This window comes from Homo sapiens, chromosome 14 (genome assembly GCF_000001405.40).
Source record: "Homo sapiens chromosome 14, GRCh38.p14 Primary Assembly".
Taxonomy (NCBI): domain Eukaryota; kingdom Metazoa; phylum Chordata; class Mammalia; order Primates; family Hominidae; genus Homo; species Homo sapiens.
Window position 1 is genome coordinate 98,062,989 of NC_000014.9, and position 23,651 is coordinate 98,086,639.

The window sequence follows — 23,651 nt, forward strand, 5'->3', positions numbered from 1 at the left end:
ATAGTCAACACTAGGACGGTGTCACCTTTAAATTGAGGTACTGTGGGTCTCAGAATTAGGCCCTCCATTCTCAAGGGTCCTCCTGGGCTCTCCTTCAACCTCAACCCTCCCATCTAGCTGAGGACTTCCTGGGACTGAAGGGACCTGCTCATCCAGAGCCCACTCCTCCTTCCCCATCACATTTCCCCTACCCAAGACCCCAGAATTCCTTGCTTAAAGCTGCAAGCCCACTTCTACTGCCTATGCCTATGCGGGCCTCTTCCTGTCTGTATTCTGCAGGGAAGATGGTGTCACCAGTGGGACAGGAGCAGCTGTCTCTACGCTCCACGAACTCTGTAGACTTGCAGTTGGTCCTTGCTGCAGGATGGGCTCAAAGGTGGGAGGGAACTGTGGAGAGGGCCTGGTTCTCCTTTCATTCTCTTACTCCTACATCACAAACACTGGGATTTCTCTGACTGAGGAGGCCGTGTAATTAAACCATTAGAGCAACGGCTGCCCTTCTGAGCATCCATTCAGTTAGGAAAAGGATGGAGCTATTAAATAAATAGATTCAAAAAGAGAATACTCCAGGCGCGGTGGCTCACGCCTGTAATCCCAGCACTTTGGGAGGCCCAGGTGGGTGGATCACCTGAGGTCAGGAGCTAGAGACCAGCCTGGCTAACGTGGTGAAACCCCATCTCTACTAAAAATACAAAAATTAGCTGGATATGGTGGTGGGTACCTGTAATCCCAGCTACTTGGGAAGCTGAGGCAGGAGAATAGCTTGAGCCTGGTGGGTGGAGGTTGCAGTGAGCCGAGATCCCACCACTGCGCTCCAGCCTGGGCGACAGAGTGATACTCCATTTCAAACAACAACAACAACAACAACAAAAAAAACAAATAATGAATACGATGCTGGCTAGTGATAGATGTAAATTATTTAATTTAGGTAAAATAAAGTAGTTGGAATGACTCTGCCTTCATTCATTTTTTTCTTTACAGGCATACACACATACATATCTCTTATTTTACAGCTTTTCTTCCCAGGAACAAGAAAAGCGTGTTTATTATTGCAAACACCACAGATCTATAAAGAATAAAATCAAACTAAGACTTAATTCCATCATTCATATATATTCACTGTTGGTATGATGTTGATTATACCCTCTTCTAAATTTTACAGTTTACAAAGTCTTTTAACACATGTGACCACATTTGATACCACACCTGATGAGGTTTGGCTCTGTATCCCCACCCAAATCTCAACTTGAATTGTAGCTCCCATAATTCCCATGTGTTGTGGGAGGGGCCCAGTGGAAGGTAATTGAATCATGAGGGCAGTTTCTCCCATACTGTTCTCCTGGTAATGAATAACTCTCACGAGATCTGATGGCTTTATTAAGGGTTTCTGCTTTCACTTGGCTCTCATTCTCTCGTCTGCTGCCATGTAAGACACGTGTTTTGCCTGACGCCATGATTGTGAGGCCTCCCCAACCATATGGTGGAACTGTGAGTCCATTAAACCTCTTTTTCTTTATACATTACCCAGTCTCAGGTATGTCTTCATCAGCAGCATGAAGACTGACTAATACAACACCCCTGCTAGGTAGGGATTGTTAGACTCACTTTGCAGAACGGGGCAGGGTGGGCTCCCTGCAGATAGGGAGGGATCTTAAATTCACACTCTAGAGTCTAAGGACACAGTGGTGGGGAAAAGGGTTGTCTAGGCAGGGACCTTGTCTTCATTATGGTGCCCTGAGTTTGTGAGGCTGGATGGGAACCTCTGCCCCACCTCGGGCTCCCTCTTGGGGCAGCCTCTGCTCCTGTAGTTTCCCATGGGTGGCCTCATTGCCATCCTTTGCTTTGCTGACCTTCCTATTTTAGAATGCTGGTTCTCATCCTTGTCTACAGGGGCTTCAAAAGCCTTAGGAAATTGCCATTAACGGCCTTGTCCAAGTGTCTTATTCTTTGCCTAGAAAAAGGGAGAGAATTGGATAAAATTTGGAACAAGGAGAATGTATAGTGTAAAACAAGATCAGCCTGCAGAGCTGGAGAAAGGAGAGCTGTGTGTTGGATGCTGTGTTGTGGCTGCAGTAGATACGAAACGTAACATTTCAGTTGTGTCCATGAAGTAAGAAGGGAGTTTCTAAGCGTGAACACAGTGAAGAATGTTTCCTTCAGGGCGTCAGTGTCCCAGCTCTGGCAGCTTTATTGTAAGTAAGCGTCAGTGTTAACCTGCTATATTATTAACGTGTTCCATTAGCCCTAATACCCAATCTAGCATTCATTTTGTAGATTACTTCCTTGAAAGAGAATAGCACCTTTCCACACGCCTCCAATATTTTACAGAATGAAATTAAGTCACTAAGTACTAGCTGCAAACCAGCATTTACAATTCTCAATGCTGTGAATAGCCACCTGCCTGGAAGGTGGCTCAAACGAGAAAGACAATTGAATAAAATGCTGATCAATGTGTACTTATATCTTTACTTATATAACATTTTAATAGATCAGAAATCAACTGTAGTGTTTCAAAAAGCACTCAAATTAAGGACTTATTTTGCAAATGCTGTTACAGACAGGGAAGAACAACTTTCTTTCTACACCATCTTGTACCCTCCTGGGGTGGGTTCCCTACAGACAGGGAGGGATCTTTAATTCACACTCCAGAGTTCAAGAAGAAGGCAGGCAATCATTTTAAATATATGTTTTAAATATATATATGTGTGTGTGTGTGTCTGTGCGTGTGTTTCTACATATTGAAACATATATGTATATGTATATATATTTTATATTTATATTTTTATAGAAGAAGGAAATTGTATCTGTAACACAAAGCCGTGTAATTTGGGGGAAGGTAAAAGCTATCTGCTTCTCTTCTGTCCAGTGTGGCTTGAGAACCAAAAGCATCCACCTGCACACACAGCTGGATCAAATCACCAAGGACTGAAACTCTCTGTCCTCACTCAATCTACTCCCCACATTAATACAACTTTACTCTTCCACTGCGTTGGTTAGCATGACTTTACTAGGCCAAAGATTCTGGCCCCAGGCAAATGGCTTGATGACTTCACTGTTCATTACAAGGACTTCCCAAAACAACCTTAAACTCTTCTTCAATGTAAAAAATAATTGACACTTTGCACCTAAACATTCTTTCAATCCCTTGTTCACTTTGCTAATCCTATTCAGTCTGGACTGTTGTATTACGATTCTTACCTAATCCCAGTCAAGCTGTCCATTGGAAGACCTGCTTTAAACTGAATTTCCAATCTGGAATAATTTCCAGCCTTCCCCCGCCCCACCTCACAGACACAGCCTCAGCTCTTTTGAGGTTAACCATTACTTTAGTAAGCAGTAAACAGCTTTTACTATCCACAGGTTGTGCTGGTGATATTTGGAGAGCCAGCATTCAACGGAATTCCAAATGGTAAGGTTGATACAAAAGTGGAAGGTGACAGTGGATGGGCAAAGACTTTGCAAGCCTTAAACACACAGAAGTGTCCTCATGGTACTTCTGAACATATGATGAAAAAGGGATACAGGGCTGGTTCTGCATTTATTGCTTCTTTATTGAAATGCTGATGCAAGACATATACTTCTAGATATAAGATTAATATTCATCTAAAAACCAAGTAAGTTAACACTAATGGTTCACATTTTTTCTTATTTTAATGAAATTCCTTTGTTGCAAAATAAAAATGAATACGTGCCCATTCCTAAAGACATTTCAGTATAGAAATTTGCTTCTTCCAGCCCTAGGTTCTTTAACTTTTGTGTATAATAAATTCTCAATTTTAGAATTTGGTTTTACAAATTTTATAAGTTATAGAGCTTTATGCTGTATTGTTTGGTATGAATCTTTAAAAAATAAAAATAAAAAGCCATGGATTAAAAAATAAAGAAATGATGTTCTTTAGTGGTAGTGATCATTTAAAAATAGTAAAATCATAGCTTTAAAACATGATCATTTATTTACTCATATATTCATTCAAATATTATGTTTTAAGCCTCTGCTGTATTTTAAATGCTTTTCTCAGAGCCTGGGAAGATGATTGTAAGCTAGACATAGACCCTGCTCTCAAGTAGTGGATAAGAAACATGAACAAATGTGTATAAAGCAGCCACCAATAAGGCAACAGGTGTGAAGCTTCCAGAGAGTTGCAGTTTAAAAGCCAAGGTGGTCAAATTTGGAGGACATCATTCTTAAGCCCTTTAATGGGGAAGAAGATGAGGAGACAAAAGGGAAGCACTGGATTGAGGAAGGCTTCCTGAAGGTGGCCTTTCGTTTCATTTTTGAGGTCTGGGTGGGATTCAGCCATGAAGATGTGGATGTAGGAGGATGTCCCAGGGGGCTGAGACCCTGCAAGAGCGAAGGCCACACCACAAGGTATCTGCGGGGCATCTGGAGGACCAGGTAAGGCTGGAAAAATGGTGCATGGTGTCCCTTTAGACAGCTATGACTCTCTAGTGGATAGAAACTCACCATCCCACTTGTTCACTTTAGCAATATATTTTTGTCACCTGCCAGGTCTCTTCTAAGTGTAAGGGTGGAAGTGGTAAAAGAGATAAAGATAGTCCTTACTCTCCCAGAGCTTACAGTCTACTTGCGGGGAATCACCATAAAACAAATAAGTGTGCAAATAATTGGTTAGGGTTTTAAAGGAAACGGACCCAGTGACAGGGAATAGCAGAGGTTCAGGGGGATATAGAATCCCGAGCAACACTGTCTAATGGAATGCTCTGTAAGGGTAGAAATGCTTTCTCTCTGCACCGGGTGATATAACAGTCACAGCCACATGTAGCTACTGAGCACCTGAAATGTGGTCTGTGAGAATAAGGATTTGTATTTTTGGTTTTATTTTATTTCAACTAATTTGAATTTCAGTAACTGCCCGTAGTTGGTGACTACTGTGTTTTCCTCCAGTTACACTTGCAGAGGGTAAATTTCAAGCCCGTGGATAGCAGAGATTGTTTTCAGTACTGCAATACTTCTGTAGCCAGGTCTCCATTATGTACTAGACACAAATTTGAATGCCAAAAGCAAATGCCCTTGACAAGTGCAATGGGAAGGGCTAAAAGAAACTACTGTACTGTTTGGGGAATCCAGAGACTGCCGTTGAGCACCCAAGGCATGTACAATAATGTCTGTGGAAGGAATGAGCAGAGGAAAGGAGGCATATAAGACACACCTTGTGGGATTCACAGAATTTCACTGGGTGGAGTTAGCAGGTTAGGCATTTCAGGTGGGTACTCTGTGAGCAGAGATAAGAGGGTGCCTGAGGATGGTGAGCTATGAGAGTGGGTGACAGTACAAGAAGAGCTGTCCACAGGTTTATACACTGCAGCCACTTCTCATTTGTGGACTTTTACAACAGAGAAGGTAGCTTCCGCAGACGTCTGCCAACCTTTCCAGGATCCTCATGTTTGAACTCGGCCTTGAAAATCCAGATAACAAAAATGGGTCTTGACACTCTTGAGTCTCATTAACAGGTTGCTGCCCCCCTCATTTCCTTGCCATCCACAGTGGAACTTGTCATAGCTCTGGAAGGAAAGCAGGGGCTCTGGTAAAGAATGACAATTACTAGAGACCTATTGAGAGTCAAGAGCTTTGTGCACTGTATCACTTCCACCCTACCGATGACAGCAAGAGGTAGGGGTTGATGTCAGAAGGTCTCAAACAGTTTATGAGGCTTGTCTGTAAGTCCCCAGCTGGTGAACTGGGGCCTAGCTTGCACACTTGACACTGTTCAACCCAGACCTGTCCATGTGCCCCCAAGACACATTCATATTTATGTAGATACCTGTTATGTTCCAGGTATTTGCTGAGCCTTGAAACATGAGCTATCTCTGCAATTACTTAGCTTTCGTAATTTAGGTGTTAAAATGACCGCCATTTACAGATGAGGAAACTAAGACTTCAGGAGGGGCCTGGCCCAGAACTAAGTGACAGAGTTGAGCCTCCAATCTGGCTTTGTCTGACACCAGAGTCTGCAGTGTCTTTTACCTTTCAGTCAGCTTCCTACAGTAGTAGGGGATTTAGAAGTATACTTTCACTGAAGTCCCTGATTTTACAGAGGCACATCTTGCTTGGGGTTGAAGCACACATGTTCTAGACTTCGGGAAACCAGGGTGGGAGTCTCAGCTCTAGGGCAAACCCAGCACATGATGACCATTGCAATAAGAGTAGTAATAACAATATAACACAATACTATTATAGCATCTATATCACAAATATGATTATACAGTCTATTATAATAGATTATATTATATACATCATGTTTCCACATTTGTAATAATTTATAATTACAATTTATAATAATATAATGTAGGTATATTAGTATGCATAATATAGCATAATAAATGACATAAAATAATGTATTGATATAATACAAATTTAATATATATATAATTGACAGTTTATTATATTATATATAGTTATATAAAAATCTAACATATTAATATTTTAGCATATATGTACACGTGTTATAATATGATATAGTGTTATATTGTATTAATATGTGCTATTTTCTATCTTACTATATAGTAACATATATAATATAATAAGAATGATCTTCATCCACACTGGTAGATAACCTTCCTAAAGCCCAGGAAGTCTGTCTCCCTCACACAGCTCCGAAGAGTCAGGACCAGACCGTTGTGTCTGAACCAGACCCTTGGCTCTCAGTTCTCAGCCCTTCTGGCCAGTGGTGGCCTGAGCCTGTCCCTCCCCAGCCATAGGGCCCTGTGTCACTAAATGCAGATGCTCCATCCAGCTCCCAGTGCTGCCTGTGCCCAGCACATTGCTGACCCTCACTCACGTCTTCAGGGGATGTCACCCTGCAGCATAGTGGCTGCCAGAGGGGAGGCCCCTCAGGCTCAGGCTGCCTGTGAGGACAAGGGGCTTTTACCTGTCAAGAGGCCTCACTATTCCTCTTCCAGGGCTGGGAGGGCCTGGAAGTCACCGAGGAAACAGACATGATTTCAGAAAACAAAAATAGACTAAATCACAGTGAAGGACCTGAGGGTTGGGATCAAGTTTCTGCACAAAGGATGATTAACCAAATACCACCACTGGAATGTGGGCTTGGCAAGAGGTGAAAGGCACATGAATGGAGCTGTCTGCATACTTGGGAAGTGCTTTTAACTCTCATTTTCATTTAAGAAAATATTGACTAACTTGCCAACTCTGCTTGTTTCCCTTCCCCCTTCTTCCTGGTAGACAGTGAGATGTATGAAAAGAACAGGCGCTTTGGGGTCAGACCCTCACTTAGTGCCATGTGAACTTGCAAAAGTAACTTTAACTACCTGAACTTAGGTTTCTGATTCACAAGGTCTAGGAGGAGCCATGAGACATTTGCATATTTAATAAATTCCAAGGTGAGGCTGGTGCTGTTGATCAGGGCCACACTTTGATTGCTGCTGGAATTGGAGACAGAGATGGTTTTACTCAAAGTTTTGCAGCAGATTAGGATCAGGAAAGCCCAGGAGAGGTAGATAAAAGTGTTTGCAATTCTTCATACTCTAGATGTATTTGAATTATATATTCATGCCTTTGGCCACGTGACTTTTAAGACCACTCACAGATGTGATATTCCTCTGCCCCACTAATATCAGTGTTGGGCATATGACTTGCTTGGGCCAGTGGAATTAGTTAGAAGGACAGTGAGCCAGTTTTGAACCAAGGCCCCCTAAGGCATTGCCTGTTTTTGTTGACTCTTGGATTCCTGCCATTCACCAAGAGCAGAGCATGCCTCTAATGGCTCCAGTCCAAAGAGAAGGAAGAAACACACAGCATGGTATTGAACACAATCCTCAGTCTACAGGCAAGTCCAGCTGCTCATGATCCTGCTTTAGAGCCACTCAGGAAAGACCCCAGCCTAGCTCAGTCAAATAGCAGATGACTCATAAACATGAACATGTTTGTTGTTGCAAGCCACTGATTTGGAGGGTAGTTTGTTATATAGCATTAACACAGCAATTGCTGACAAATACACACTAGTGTATTAGCATTATGCTAGGACCATCTTTCTGTCCAGAAAGACAAGATATCTTGTCATTTATTGCCTACCATGTGCCAGGATAGTGCATGTCACCTTGTATCTTGGAATGCAATGTTTCAATCATTTTAATACATGTCTCTCTAAACTCAGCACCCTTTAAAAAGTGGTTCCTGGTAATTACAGCTTTTATTTGTATGAGCTTCGCTCTTTACCTATAGCCCCCAATCCAAATCCTAACATGTCTTGGTTGGCCCCCTCCAGTCTCTCTGGTGGGTGTCTCTGATGTTTAATTACTCAGGTTTCAGAGGTCAACACAGGCTGCACTTGCAGTCCTGCTATCACTGTGTCATTGCCTCACCCAGCACATTCTTGGAGAAAAAAGAGAAAAAACCAAATATAAAATCTGAACTTTAGAACATGGGATGAAGGCAACTTGTTTTGTGGTTCTCATTTGCAGAGAAAGAAAAAGGGGCCTATTTTCTTCTTATGAATAGGCAGGATTGACATAAAAAAGTACTTCAAGAGCTGAACTCACTCACTGAACACAAATGCAGAGAAATTCTGTATACCTTTAAATGTTTTATATGTCCCAGTCATATATAATTTATTATGTTGTGAAGCTGAGTCCTTCTTTGAATGAAAATTTTACTGTCAGAGCCTGGGGTACTTTAGTTTGATGATTTAAAACTCCCAATGCACTTGTAGCAAATAGCATGATTTTATGACAGTGTGTTTGTCCAAGAGGTCAGCTTTCAGCACAGTAGGAAATGTCCCTAGTGAAACTATTTCAAAGAGAAATATGTCTCCCAGCCTAATTCTTCTTGCAGAAAATGCAGGTGCAATTCCAGATAGCACTGATGTCCATCTTTCAAGAAGGCACAGGGCAGCAGAGCTGCTCATTCATCTTGCGATTTTGGACTAGGGCTGCAGACACACAATTTGAATCCTGTCTTTGCCCTCAATTGGCTGTGCCTCATGGCTTTCAGCTATAACATGAGGTTAATAATACCAGTTTTGAGGTATTTTTTTGTAAGAATTAAATGAGACGGTCATTTGTTGAAGTTCTTGATTCATAGTTACTGCTATTTCATATTATTCTGCAGACTCTACTTTGAATAGAAATTAGCCCAACAATGGGATGTGACAACATCCAAAATAAATAAAGTGACCAGAGTGCTTCTAGACAAAGATCTAAGAATATCTATTCAATGCTGTAAAGATTCAGCAGCCAGTGGGCACGGGCACTAAAGGGAACAAGTAAAGACATTTTAGTTATAAAGGTTTGATGAAGAGAACATGGTACATTAGGGAAGAATACTCTGGTGCCTCAACCTCCACCCCTTCCTATCCTGTGTACTTCTGGGAGCTCTGAACTAGGAAAGGCAACAGGCTTTTAGACGACTACGCATCTAATCATCCATCCATTAATCTATCCATCCATCCTTCCATCCATCTATCCATCCATCCTTCCATCCATCTATCCATTCATGCACCCATCCACCTACCCATCCATTTATTCATCTATCCATCCACTCATCCACCGATTCATCCAACTATCCATTCATCCACCCGTCTACCCATCCAGCCAGCCACTTGTCTATCCATCCATCTAGTCTTTGTTTACTTACCAATTCATTTCACCCATCCATCAGTCAATCTACTCTATGAGCAGTGATGACATCTGAGTCCCTGACGTATACTAAGGTGGGTTGGTGGGTTCTACAAACACCAAGATGTAAGTCTGAGTTTAGGGCCTCAAGGTATTTAAAGCTTAGTTAAGGGTCAAATCAGGCAACGCCACATTTTCAAAACAATGGGTTCAACATTACAAGAGAAGGGGCATGAGGTGCTAAGTAAGCACTAAGCAAGGATACCCTTTCAATCTAGAAAAATCCAGGGTGCCTTTCAGGAACTTGACCTGAGGATCATTTGATCCTCAAGGGGGTGATCGATCAAATGATCCTCAGAAAAGGCATTCCAAACAAAAGAAGCAACTGGCATATGGCCTGAAGCATAGGGATTACTCTGAGAATATAAACTTAGCTCAGGCTGCCATAACATAATACCACCAACTGGGTGGCTTGAACAACAGATATTTATTTTCTCATAGTTCTGAAGGCTAGTTCAAGAGCAGAGTGCTAACAGGGTTTGCTTCTGGCAAGGGCTGTTTCCTGGCTTGCAGAGAGCTGTGCTTTCTCAGTGTGTCTTTGCATGGCCTTTCCTCCGTATACATGAAGAGAGAGAGGGGTCTGGTGTCTCTTCCTTTTCTTATAAGAACACCAGTCCTATTGGACTAGAGTCCCACCCTTATGAACTCATTTAACCTTCATTATTTCCTTTATGGACCCATTTCCAAATATAGTCATATAGGAAGCTAGGGCTTTGACATATGAATTTGGGAGACACAAGTTAATCTATAACAATGGCAAGTAGCTTCATAATTCTGGCAGAAGTGAGGAGAGGAAAGGCTGGAATGGTAAGCAGGGGTGCACTCAAGTTGGGCTCTGGGTCTCCCAGGATCAGGGGTGCACTCAAGGTGGACTCTGGGTTTCCCAGGATCATGAATAAGCCTAACTCAACAGATCAGCATGAGAAGGTGCTTGCCTTCGGCAGAAAGAAATTGAAACCATGACACTTTAGCCATTTTGGGGTCTGCATTCCATTCAGACATCCCTCCTTCCCCTAAAACATAATTGCAGGCCTCAAAGCCAAAGCCACCTTTATCAAGGTTTCAAAATTTTGCTTCCCACTGCTTTCTCTTGGGCTGGAGTCTTCCAACCTCAGAAGCCTGCAGATGTGACTGGGGAGCATCTCTCTTGAAATCCAGGTGTACACTGATGGGTTTTGATTTAGGATTTCTTTCCCTTCGAGGTGATCCTAAGTGGAAGCTGTCTCCAGAGGAGGCTAAATTCATTTCTGAGATCTGTGGAGACAGATTAAAACCATGTGCCTGATGCCTTGAAATTTGCAAAAGGAGGGGCTTCCAGTTAGAAGAGAAGCCACATTCTCCAGGCACTGTGATCAACATCTCCTGGCTCCCAAGGAAGCAGGGTGGACACACTTCTGCCATAGGTCGCAGCCTCCATCCCTGGCTCTTATTCTCTGCTGAACTTATTAAGTTGGTATCAAGTCAACGCGTCCCTTCCTGATAGTACACAAATTCTCCAAGTGCTGCAGACTTCTGCACCTTTCCTCTTACCTGTCACTTCAGCTGCCTTTTAGTGATGTTAAAAGAAATCTTTACTGTCACTCCCATCACCCATTCACTTTGTTCCTTGGCTGTGACACTCTTGTTGTGTTTCTCCCACCGCCGCAACAGACTCTTGTGAATTAGCATTCGCCAAATTTATACACGCTCATTAGTCTGAATAAATTTAAAAGCTGCTGCTCCTGAGTTTTAAAAATGTAACCAGGCTTTTCCTTGGATATAATTGAGGCATCTTTAGAAAAGTAAATTACAGTCTGACTCCCAAGTAGGCATTTTATGAGTTTAGAGTCAACGGGTCTCTTTGCAGCATTATTTGACCTATAAATATCTGGGGGTGGGGGGATAAAATAATAAAATCCCCCAATCAATTATTCCTTCTCCTGTTTACTTTGCCCCCTTCCTCACCCTCCTTTCTCACGCACGCATAGAATATCAGCTACATACGGCTACTAAGGAAACTCCAATCAAACCCACTCTAGCTATTTCAATGGAGAGCAGCAGATGAAAGCGTGGGGTTTCTCAAACCCAGGTCCATGGGCCAAACACATCAGAACCACATAGGAGAGCATTGATAAATGCGATTCCCTGAACCCCTGGAATCAGAAACCTTACTGTTCGGCCCTGAGAATCTCTATCTATTAAAGAGCCACATCAGATTCTGACTTTCAATAAATCTGAAACTTTCCCTTGCAGTGGGCTAAAGACCGACTTTGGAGCCAGTTTGGCCCAGGAGATAATCCATACTTTGCTATTTTTTCACATCATGATGCTGAGCAAGATATTCGTCCCCTCTGAAGGGGACAATACTTTATAGTGCTTCTGATACTACAACAACAAAAAAAGATATTCTAGTATATGTGGTTGTAGGTAATTGACATGCAATCAAGGGTAACTGCTATAACAATAATTCAGTCAGGTCAGTATCCTATCGATCAGGGTTAATCAGGTTGTTACTTCCCGAAATCATCGGACTTGCCCGGCCTACTTTGGCAAGAATACTTGCCTGCAGGATTTTCATTCAAGGAATATTGTTTTAGAACTGCAGCTGTAGGTGATGAGGATGTGGGAGTGAAAGCCCTCTTATACATTGCTAGTAATAAATCAAATAAGCTAATATAAACAAAATATGAAAAGTGCAATGTATAGCATTTTAATGGGAATAGTCCTGTGAAGGAAAATAAAGCAAGGTAGGCAGATAGGAAATGCCAGGGTGGGAGATTGAGGGGTGCATGTCAAACAGGGTGGTCAGGGAGACTCCTCAGAGTGGCAACATTTAAAAGCAAAGACCAGAGAGGGGAGAGGGCACCAGCCAGACATACAGGAAAACAGCACATCATGCAATGGCAGGTAGGGCAGGAAAGGCTGAAGGGCAGGTCAGGGATCGGCTTCTTTAGCAGTAAGACCCAGATGGGCAGAGTCCAGGAAACATGTGCCCCAGAAGGCATGTGCGTTTGCAAACCCATCTGCCTAAGTCCCTGATCCCTGATGTCCTCAAATGAGCTCACTGGGCAGAAGCTGTTGAGGATTTATCCTCTTTCTCTTGAAGCAGAAGTTCCAGTTCTGCCTCTGGCTGTGTGGCTTTGTGAATACCACTTCACTGTTCCGGAGCTTCCATTTCCTCATCTTTCAAACAAATAAATGACACCTGTCTGCCATGGGCTGTGACCTCTAACAGGTGCTCATTTAATGAGGGATCAGGGCGGTTCCTACCTGCAGGGCTGAAGTCAAAGCTGGGAATGACCTTAGAAGGACTTGGGAATGAGGAAAGTGACCAAGCCAGGACCTCAGCTCAGCCAGAATGCAGAAGCCGTGTTTGCAGAATCGGCAGCAGCTCCACAGCAGTGGCTGTTTATCGGGATAGGGAAGGGCCAGCTGCAAGAGCATTTATGTCAAAAGGCCCAAAGAATGTTTGGATGCTCCAAGAGGAGGGAAAGTCCATTTGAGATAAAGAGCAAACAAAGCAATAAAAAAAAATCATTAAGTAGACATTTTTTAGTAATAATAACCACTAATTAGCAAACACTTATTATGATGTGGAAATAACCAGGTACTTTGCTATTATATATGGTCCTAATCTTTGTGAATTAAGCACTTTACAAAGCAGGAAGCACGGCTCAGAGATGCAAAGAGGAGCATGAGGTTGCACAGGTAAGAAGACTAGCCCCAGCTTTCTGCTTCCATCTGTCCCCTCCAGAGCCGCCCCACTCCCAGGCCCCTGAGTATCACCATGTACCCCTGAGCCCAGACCATATTTACAAAACGAATATTTCTAAATGTCAGAGGACAGCAAAATATTAATACACGTGCCTGAGAAAAAAACTAACAAAAAGAAGAAAAAGACCAAAGTGACTTTTTCTTCTGTGACAGAGGCAGGCACAATTTAATGCTGATGTGTTTGTTCATCCAAGCATCAGTTTGGGCCAAGGCTCTGTGGTCATTCACGCCCATGCCCCCACACAGCCGAGACTCTTCAAATGCTCATGAATGCAGCCAGGCAGCCCAGACCCCTTAAGGTGCTTGCCCATGGGTCGTTCTGCAGTAGGGCCTGGTGGTCAAGAGCACTGGAGCTTTCAGCTTCATGCCTGGAATTAAATCTGGATGGACCACTTTGGGACCTTGAGTGAGCTGTTCAACTCCCTGTGCCTCCCTTTTCTCATCTGTCAAAGGGGGATATGAATATTAGAGTATCAGCCTCATGAGGAGGTTCTGATGGTGATGTGAGATTAGCTATGTATCAGGCTCAACACAGGCCTGGCATGTTGTAAAAAGTCCCAAACTCTTAACTACTCCCTAATTCATTTACTACTCCATTCATTGTTTATTTAAACAAATACAACAATAATTGTAATTATTATTCAAGTGCAGGAAAACTCAGACTTATTCATTTCACTACACATAAAACACATCTTTAAGGTTTTCAGCTCTCACTCTACCATCCCCAAAGCACACACATGCATGCACACACACGCTCTCACATACACACAGCATACATATACACACAAGCCACACATGCATCACTACACATACCACATACACACACCACAAATTCACACATACAACACATATACGAACACCCTACACATATAAATGTATACTCATTCAAACACATGCCATACAAAATGCCCACATATGCATAGATACATACACACACACCACACACACCCATCTCATTCCTTCTCTGCTGCCCACAGGGACACGTTGGGGCATGCTCTTTCTCCATTCCATGTCTCACCTGCTCTTCATGGCAACGGTGACTCTCTCCAGTTAGAAAGTTAAATGAGCCTTCACACTTCTCTACTGACCTGTGTTTCTTCACCAGGCAGTTTCCTAAACCTCTTAAAATTTCATGCTACTCCTGCATCTCCTTGCCTAGACTGTTCCATAGTCTTCTTGGGCTGCTAAAGCAGAATACTGTCGACTGGATGATGTACAAACAACCAAAGCTTATTTCTCACAGTTCTGGAGGCTAGAAAATCCAGGATCAAGGTGCCATGAGATCCAGTGTCTGCTGAGGGTTTCCTTCTTGGTTTATAATCAGCTGTCTTCTCTCTGTGTCCTCACATGGCACAAGGGGCAAGGGAGCTCTCTGATGTCTCTTTTGTGAAGATGATAATCTAATTACCCGTCTAATCACCTACCGAAAGCCCCCTTCCTAAAATCATCACACTAAAAATTAAGATTTCAACATATGAATTTTGGGACAACGCAAACATTCTGTCTTTAGCAACTCTGAACTCCTTGAGACTCTTACTAAAATGTGCTCTTCAGGGCTGAGGACAGAACTTTGAATATTTTCCTCTCTTGCAAAATGTCTATTGGATAAAATAATCAGTTTGAGAATTGGGCATAATTCGAAATATGCTTGTTTCAATTGAACCAAGGACCTAATACAACTTTGTCATCCCAAACAATAGAATTGTAGAATGGAAAGGGCCTGGATTAATAGTCACTGCACTCACGATTACCACCGCCATCATCATCAGCTTTGTCACCTGCACATCATCACCACTGTCCTCATCCTCCCGACAATCAGGACCACCATCGTTGCCATTGTTATTATCATCACTCTGTCGGCACTACCACTGTCATCTTCACATCACTGCCACCCTCACAGTCTTTAGGTTCCTAGGATCTTCTAGCACTTTGGAAATGTTTGAAGAGCATTTCAAAGTTCCATCTGGACCAAGCCTCCCAAAGCCATTTAGGTTTTATTTATTCAGGGTGAATCATTAATTTTGTTCCTTCCACTTCAGCTCTGTGGTGAATTGGATCATCTCTCTCCACTGATTCAATTTGATAGCATAAAGGATGCTGCAGGCTGGCTTTGAGTTTTATGTTTTAGGTATTTCTCCTGCACAGGACTTCAAGGGAGCTCTAACCACTAAGTCTGCAGGTGCTGGATATCCTTCCAGAATCCACCACCCTTCCTGTGATCCTTCACATTTCAGGTTTGATGATCACTAAATTCTGGGCAGACAGAGCAGGCCAAGTGCTGCCAGACTGGAACTCAAGCCTTTTTTTGTGTGCTTCAGTCCTATGTGATGAGCAGCTGTCTTCTTAAGTAGCCTTAAAGATACCTTTAAAAAATCATTTTTTGGCCAGGCGCAGTGGCTCACATCTGTAATCCCAGCACTTTGGGAGGCCAAGGCGGCGGATCATGAGGTCAGGAGATGGAGACCATCCTGGCTAACATGGTAAAACTCCGTCTCTACTAAAAATACAAAAAATTAGCCAGGCATGGTGGCGGGCGCCTGTAGTCCCAGCTACTCAGGAGGCTGAGGCAGGAGAATGGCGTGATCCCAGGAAGCGGAGCTTGTAGTGAGCAGAGATCACGCCACTGCACTCCAGCCTGGGTGACAGAGCGAGACTCCATCTAAAAAAAAAAAAAAAAAAATCTTTTTTTTTGTCTTGAAGAACATATTCTGCTCACACACTATCAGAAAGGACCTGTTACTGGCAATTCACTTTGAAATGAATGAATAAAAATCACGTATCTTGTAAATACACACTTATTTATGGATTGTTAAAAATGTTCGAAAGTATGTTTTTAAGGCACGATAAATATGCATCTTTAAAACCTTATTAAAATATCATTCTTGATTGAAAAAGCCCAGCCTTGTTCTAATCTATCAGATTAACAAAAGCCAGAGGAAACTTGATATGGTGGGATGTATTATTAGGAGGATGCTAAATTGATTGCTCTTTGTCGTTACTTTTAATGGAAAAACAGCATTTACTTTTGCACCAACCTAATGTTTCCTTTGGCTTCTGTGACAAAGCAAAATTAGCTTTGCTGGGTCACTAAACATTACAGAAGTTCATTCTCTCATAGTTCTAGAGGTTAAAATCCAAAATCAAAGTGTCAACAGGGTTGCCCACCTGAAGATTCTAGAAAAGAATCCTCTCTTTCCTCTTCCAGCTTCTAGTAGCTCCAGATGTTCCATGGCTTATGACCATATCATTTTACTTTCTGCCTCCTCTCCTGTCTCAAAACTCCCTCTGCTTCTCTGTGATAAGGACACATGGGACTGCATTGATGGGCCACCCAAATAATCCAGGAGAAACTCCTTCTCTAAAAGTACTTAACTTAATCATAGCTCTTGCCATATACGGTAATATTTGCAGACAAGTTTTAGGGATTAGGACACGAGCATATCTCTTTTGAGGACATGGAGGAAGCAGGTACTTGGGTTCAAATCATAACAACACCTACCAGCTGTACAGATACAGGCATGTTACTCTGTTTTCCTGAGCCTGTTTTCTTTTCTGCCAAATGGAGTAACTTCTATTGCATAAATTTATATGAATTTTCTTAGGGTGATTCAATGAGATGATGAGTAAGTATAACAACTACTTTTAAGTGTAAATGTAGAGCCCATGTACAGGGATTTGTTTTTTTGAGATGGGATCTTGCTATGCTGCCCAGACTGCAGTGCAGTAGCTATTCATAGGTGCAATCATAGTGCACTGCAACCTCGAACTCCTGGGCTCAGGTGATCCTCCCACCTCAGCCTCCCAAGCAGCAGGATCTACTACAGGCATGCACCACCCCGCTTGGCTAGGATATTTTTTAATATGTGTTAGAGTTGACAGTGAATTCTTATCCAGGGTATTTTTTCTTCCCTTTTCCCTGCATGTCAGTTTCAGACTCAGCTCCAGCTATGTATGGCCCATGGACTATGACTTTCTCACACTTACCCCGACAAATCTTGCTTCCTTATCTGCTCCTCTGTGGTCAGGGATGGTGAGTGGGTTAGCTCTGGGCTACTGGGCTTGTCCGCATGTGTAAACCAATTTCCCAGGAGCTGCCCTATGCTGCTGACTTGAATTAGACTGAAATTAAAAGCCTGTGAAGAAAGCAGAGCAGACATAGTCATGAGAGTCTTGAGATTACTTCCTCCCTGAAAGTAACTGCACTGCCCTGTAAAATGCTGGCTCTGAATGAGGGGTTTGCCCAGCACTTTGCAGGGTGAAGTTTTTCATAGCTCAGGAGTGCACTGCCTGGATTCTAGTCCCAACTCTGCCACTTGCTTGTGAGCTTGCTCACATCCTGTAATCTTCTAGATGTCTCTGTGTCTCACGTTAATGTGGTGATAACAATAGTATTTACCTTGCAGAGACATGAGGATAACATCATATAAAGCATATGAAATGCTTAGCACTATGTTTATCACACAGTACCCATCTCTCCCTCCGTCTATCCCTCCGTCTATCTATCCAACCCTCCATCCATCCAATACTTACTTGTTGAACTAGGCAATGTTTGAAAGAATGCAGTCAATTTGGAAAACAAACAAATTAAAAGCAGGTAATTTCAGAAAATGACAAGTGTTAAGATTAAACCTAAATAAGCACAGTCATAGGATAATGGGCAATTGAATCTTAAGGCCCTGAAAAAAAGATAACGAGAATTTAATGCAGGAGTCGTAAGTAACCTTTGCTTGTGAATGAAGAGTAAGAAAGTTTTCTGTTTACGTTAAATACGAAGGAATCACCTCAAACTCATTCTCTGTACCCTTGGACAACACATTTTGCCTCCCTGGTCACAGTTTTTTCAACTATGGAAGAGATGGACTGGACTGCTCACAAAATGTAATGACAGAATCACCACTCACCCAAAACCTCTCTCTGTAGTGGGTTTCAGGTGAACCCTGTCTCTAGACTCGGCTCCTAATGTGTATCTGGGATCATGTGGTCCCTACAATGTGTGATCAGCAGAAGAACGACCTCCCGAAGATGTTCACATTATTATACCTGAAAATTGTACCCATGCTACTTCATGTGGGAAAAGAGTCTTTGCAGATGAGATTGAGTTCAGGATCTTGAGTTGGGGAGATGATCCTGGATTACCCGCATGGGCCCAATGTTATTACAAGGGGAATGGTAGCAGGATCAGAGTTGGAGGAGATGTGAAGATGAAAATAGAAAAAGATTTGATGATGTCACACTACTGGCTTCCAATATGGAGAAATAGGTCATGTGTCAAGAAATGTGGGCAGGCCCTGGTAGCTAGAAAGGGCAAGGAAACAGATTTTCTCTTCCCCGGAGCTTCCAGAAGGAATGCAGCCCCACCAGCACTCTGCTTGCAGCTCAGTTAAGACCCATTTTGGACTTTTGACCTTCACAATTTTAAAATAAAAAAATTGTTTTGTTTTAAGCATCTAAGCTTGCAGTAATTTGTTGCAGTGGCAATAGGGAACTGATATATAGGAAGTTTCAAAAGAATTAATCTATGTTCATAGAATGATAGCCTACTGTGTGACAAACACGATGCATATTATGTTATTTACTTCTTAAAATGCCTCCATAAGTATCGTCCTCCTCATTTTAGAGATGAGAAATCTGATGCTCAGAGAGGTTAAGTGCTTAGTGAAGGTCACACAGCATGTGTATGAAAGAGAGATTTTGCAATTCTGGAGGGATGCACTCTTAATCCACTGATCTCCAAGCTCACCATGCTGCCTGCCCACTCAATTCAGTGTCCTGGCTGCCCAGCAGTCAGCCCTTCTCTGACTTTCTATCTCACCCTTTCCCTCCACCCAGGTGCCCAGGTTTTTTGCTTTGTTCATCTGTTCATTAAGTAGCTTTGAATATTTGTACTACAGCTCAGGAAATGGAATTCTGTGCTTGGGCTTCCAGTCAGCCCTAATAAACAGCTTCCAGGTTTTTCAAACACAACCCCGTCTCTAGATTCCCTGACTCCACATGGTTGCTGTTGCTGAGTCTTGGTCTCCCCAGCTCGAATCTAGTAGGAAAAAAGAGGGCTTTTCCAAAGGCTGGAGGGTCATATTAATGGAGGATAAGCAGATCCCTGGGAGGCCAATGAAGAGGTTCTTGTGAGAATTGTTTACCTTTGGAAATGAGGGAGAACCCGATGAATGCTGAGGTCACTCAGGTCATTACATAGACCCTCACACTGGCACTCAGAGTCCCCAGGACCAAATAGAAAGACTGCTACAAAATAATGAATTTCAAGGGGAAGAACAATACATGATTTTTTCTTAATGAGATAAAAATGTAGAGTGCAATCTCAAGAGGTAAGACAAATGAGAGGGCATTTCCCCCTGGAAAGTTAGAAAAGAGGAAGTGATCAGTATTAGTTTTCTCCATAGAGGAAGCAAAAGGGAGAAAGAATTTCAGACTGGTGAGGTTGTCCTTCCTGGCTCTCCCACTTGGTAGCTGTGATAATTTTATATGTCAACTTGACTGGACCACAGGGTGCCCAGATTCAACATTATTATGAGATTAGCATTTGAATCAATAGACTCAGTTAAGCAGATTGCCCTTTGCAGTGTGGGTGGGCATAGTTCAATCTGTTGGAGGCCCAAATAGAACAAAAAGGCAAAAGAAGGGGGAACTAGCTCTCTTTGCCTGACTGCTTGAGCTGGGACATCGACTTGCTCCTGCCCTTGACTGGGACTTCTACCATCAACTCTCTGGTTCTCAGGACTACATCACCAGCTTCCTTTGGTCTACAGCTTGCAGACAGCAGACTGTGGGACTTCTCAGCCTCCATATTCACACAAGCCAATTCTTTACAATAAAGACATTTATTATTCCTGTGGTATTGGCAAACCAGAAAGCCTTAAGTCACCTGTTTTCTCCTCTCTACAATGTGCAGAACCCAACAAATCCAGGATGAGCTGTTGTGCATAGAAAACAAACTGAAGAAAAGCTTTTTGCAAAGTTTCTAAGGTTATCAAAATTGCATCTCCTGCTATTATTTTGTTGTTGTTGTTGTTGTCATCACCTGGTATACTAGAAGAACTAGAAGGAGATTTTCCCTCCAAAAAGAAAATTAAATATTGTGTGATGTGGACATTTGACCTGCTAGAGTCTTACATGTGCTCTGAAAACAAAATCTGAGTAATGTAGACCATTTCTACATAAGGCAGTCATGTACCTAGGAGGCTCAATTTTTTAAATTAATTTATTTATAAAATGGTTGCAATGTAAAATAATGCAATAGTACAATGCAATATCCATAAAACTAGAATGTTAAGACTAAAGGAGGAATATAAATAAGGTAATAGCAGCCATATCTGACTAATTTGACCTTCCAATATGTTGCAGAGCTTGCTGGTGTCCCAGGTGAAGTGAAGACATGATCAGTCATAAAATATTCATTGTTGGGAAAGAGTGATCAGGTCACTCTCTTGGGGTAAATTACTTTATTTTCCAGCTATATTTCTAAAGTACTTTTATGAAGAGTTCATATAATTTTATATTTTAAAAATTGAGATATTTCATAGCATATTCTCAAATGTATAGAATATTATGCCAAACCTCTTTCCATCCCAGCTTCATCAACAGCTATTTTTTAATATTTTTCATCATCAACTAGTTGTGTAACAAATAAGTACTATTCACTTTTACTCTCAGAAATGTAGTTTCTTCGCCATGTTGAGAGGACTACAGATGCTTTTTGTAAAATGGTTAGCATGGTCTCTGAGACTTTGTCAATTCTCAGTATATAGTTGCTGTTATTATTACTATTTTTATTTTCATTACATGGAAGTCCAGGGGACACTAAATGATAGAGATGAAAATATTTCTCTAAACATTACTCCAGCAAGTGGGTTTCTGTAGCACGGCAGGCAAGGAGACCAGAAAGATGTCTCAGCTAAGATACAACAGCTCTTGATATGATTAGAAAATTACAATGCAAACATAATTTTAATGCTTTTATGGGATTGATAGAATATAAGGGGAATCTCTAAGAAATAAAAACAAAGAAACAAGCATGACTGAGCTGAGACTGGAACAAGGAACTTGAGCAATGAGCAAGTCTACGTTAAGGAAGCCAAGCCCAAGAGCCTGGTAAGATGGAGGAGCTTGACCTCAGACCTACATGTAACATCAGCAACCTTACAAAGAGCCAAAAATAGTACCAGGTCTGCAGGGTTCTCTGGCCCTCAGCAAAAGCAAATGAAATTCCTTTCTCAGATCATACGGCACATGTAGTCCTTATGCATAAGTGTATGTTCACACACACACATGGAGTTATAGATTTGATATAAAATAAGTAATGTGAAATATCTCAAGAAATAAAAGACGAAATCAAAAAATTAGAAACAATTTATCAAACATGGCACAGCAGATTAGAGAAGAGAGCTACATAGTCTTTCTAGAAATAAAATTATTGAAATTCAAAACCTAGTAAATGCATAAACATTAACTGAGAAACGAACTGAAAATTGGTGATTAAGAAGGCAAATCAGAAGAAATGCTCAGCATATTGGAAAAAAAGGCAAGCAAACAGAAAATATAAAAAGGTGATAAAATGTAGACATACAGAACGTAGAAAAATGTAGACACACAGAACGTAGAAAAATATAGAAATTGCAATGGATATCAAGCAGTATTAAAGAAAGCAAACAAGTAACTTCACACTTCAATGCACTGTTGTAAAACTAAAGAACTTCAAATAAGATTTTAAAAGCAGCCAGAGTGAAAAGATGACCAAGCTAACACTAGACTTCTCAAAAGAAATAATGGAAAAAAGAAGATGGTGGAGTAACATTTTCTAAGTTTTGAGAGATGGTAAATTTCAAGCAAGAACTGGATACTCAGTAGAACTATCATTAAAAAGAAATATATAAAAATATTTTTTCCCAACATTTATTTTAAGTTCAGGGGGTACACATGCAGGTTTGTTACATGGGTAAATAGTGTGTCACTCGGCTTTGGTGTACAAATGATTTTGTCACCCAAGTAGTAACCATAGTACCCAATAGGTAGTTTTTCTATCCTCTTCTATCCTCTTCCTCCTCCCACCCTCCACCCTCAAGTAGGCTCCAGTGTCTATTGTTTCCCTCTTTGTGTCCATGTACACTCAATGTTTAGCTCCTACTTATAAGTATGAACATGTGGTATTTGGTTTTCTGTTCCTGCATAAATTTGCTTAGAATAATGGCCTCCAGCTGCCTCCATGTTGCTGCAAAGCACTTGATTTTGTTCTTTGTTATGGTTGTACAGTATTCCATGGTGTGTATATGAGTACCACATTTTCTTTATCCAGTCCACCACTGATGTGCATCTAGGTTGATTCCATGTCATTGCTATTAAGAAAAGTGCTGCAATAAGCCTACATGTGAATGTGTCTTTATGGTAGAATGCTTTATATTCCTTTGGGTATATACTCAGTAATGGGACTGCTGGGTCAAATAGTAGTTATGTTTTAAGTTATTTGAGAAATCTCCAAACTGCTTTCCACAGTGGCTGAGCTAATTTACATTCCAGCCTGCAGTGTATAAGCATTCCTTTTTCTCCTCAACATCGCCAACATCTGTTACTTTTTTTGTTTTTTTAATAATACCCATTCTGACTTATGTGAGATGGTATCTCTTTGTGGTTTTGATTTACATTTCTACAATGATTAGTGATGTTGAGCATTTCTTCTTATACTTGTTGATATGGTGTGTATGTCTTGTTTTGAGAAGTGTCTGTTCATGTCCTTTGCCCATATTGAATGGGGTCGTTTGTTTGTTTTTTTTTCTTGTTGATTTAAGTTCCTGATGGATTCTGGATACTAGACTTTGTCAGATGCATAGTTTGCATATGTTTCTTCCCATTCTTTAGGTTGTCTTTTTATTCTGTTGAAAGTTTATTTTTCTGTGCAAAAGCTCTTTCATTTTATTAGGTCCTACTTGTGAATTTTTGTTTTTGTTGCAATTGCTTTTGGAATCTTTGTTGTGAAATCTTTGCAAGGCCAATGTCCACAATGGCATTTCCTAGATTTTCATTAAGAGTTTTTATAGTTTTATCTTTTACATTTAATTCTTTAATCCATCTTGAGTTGATTTTTTTATATGGTTTAAGGAAGTGGTTCAGTTTCAATCTTCTGCATATGGCCAGCCAGTTATAGCAGTACCACTCATCAAATAGGAGTTCTTCCCCCCTTGCTTGTTACCGTCAATTTTGTGGAAGATCAGATGGTTGTAGGTGTGTGGTTTTATTTC

At 41.5% G+C, this 23,651-nt stretch overlaps 1 long non-coding RNA gene across 1 annotated transcript in view; it reads right to left on the reverse strand.

Annotated features, from left to right (window-relative positions):
* Nucleotides 1-899: 899 nt before the first annotated feature.
* Nucleotides 900-23,651, reverse strand: part of LOC105370655 (uncharacterized) — a 102,277-nt gene continuing 79,525 nt past the window's right edge. The window contains exons 2-4 of the long non-coding RNA XR_001750876.2: nt 17,389-17,537; nt 6,891-16,063; nt 900-5,523 (exon numbers count right to left, since the gene is read on the reverse strand). This is a non-coding gene — a long non-coding RNA (uncharacterized LOC105370655). The remainder of the gene's footprint in view (nt 5,524-6,890; nt 16,064-17,388; nt 17,538-23,651) is intronic.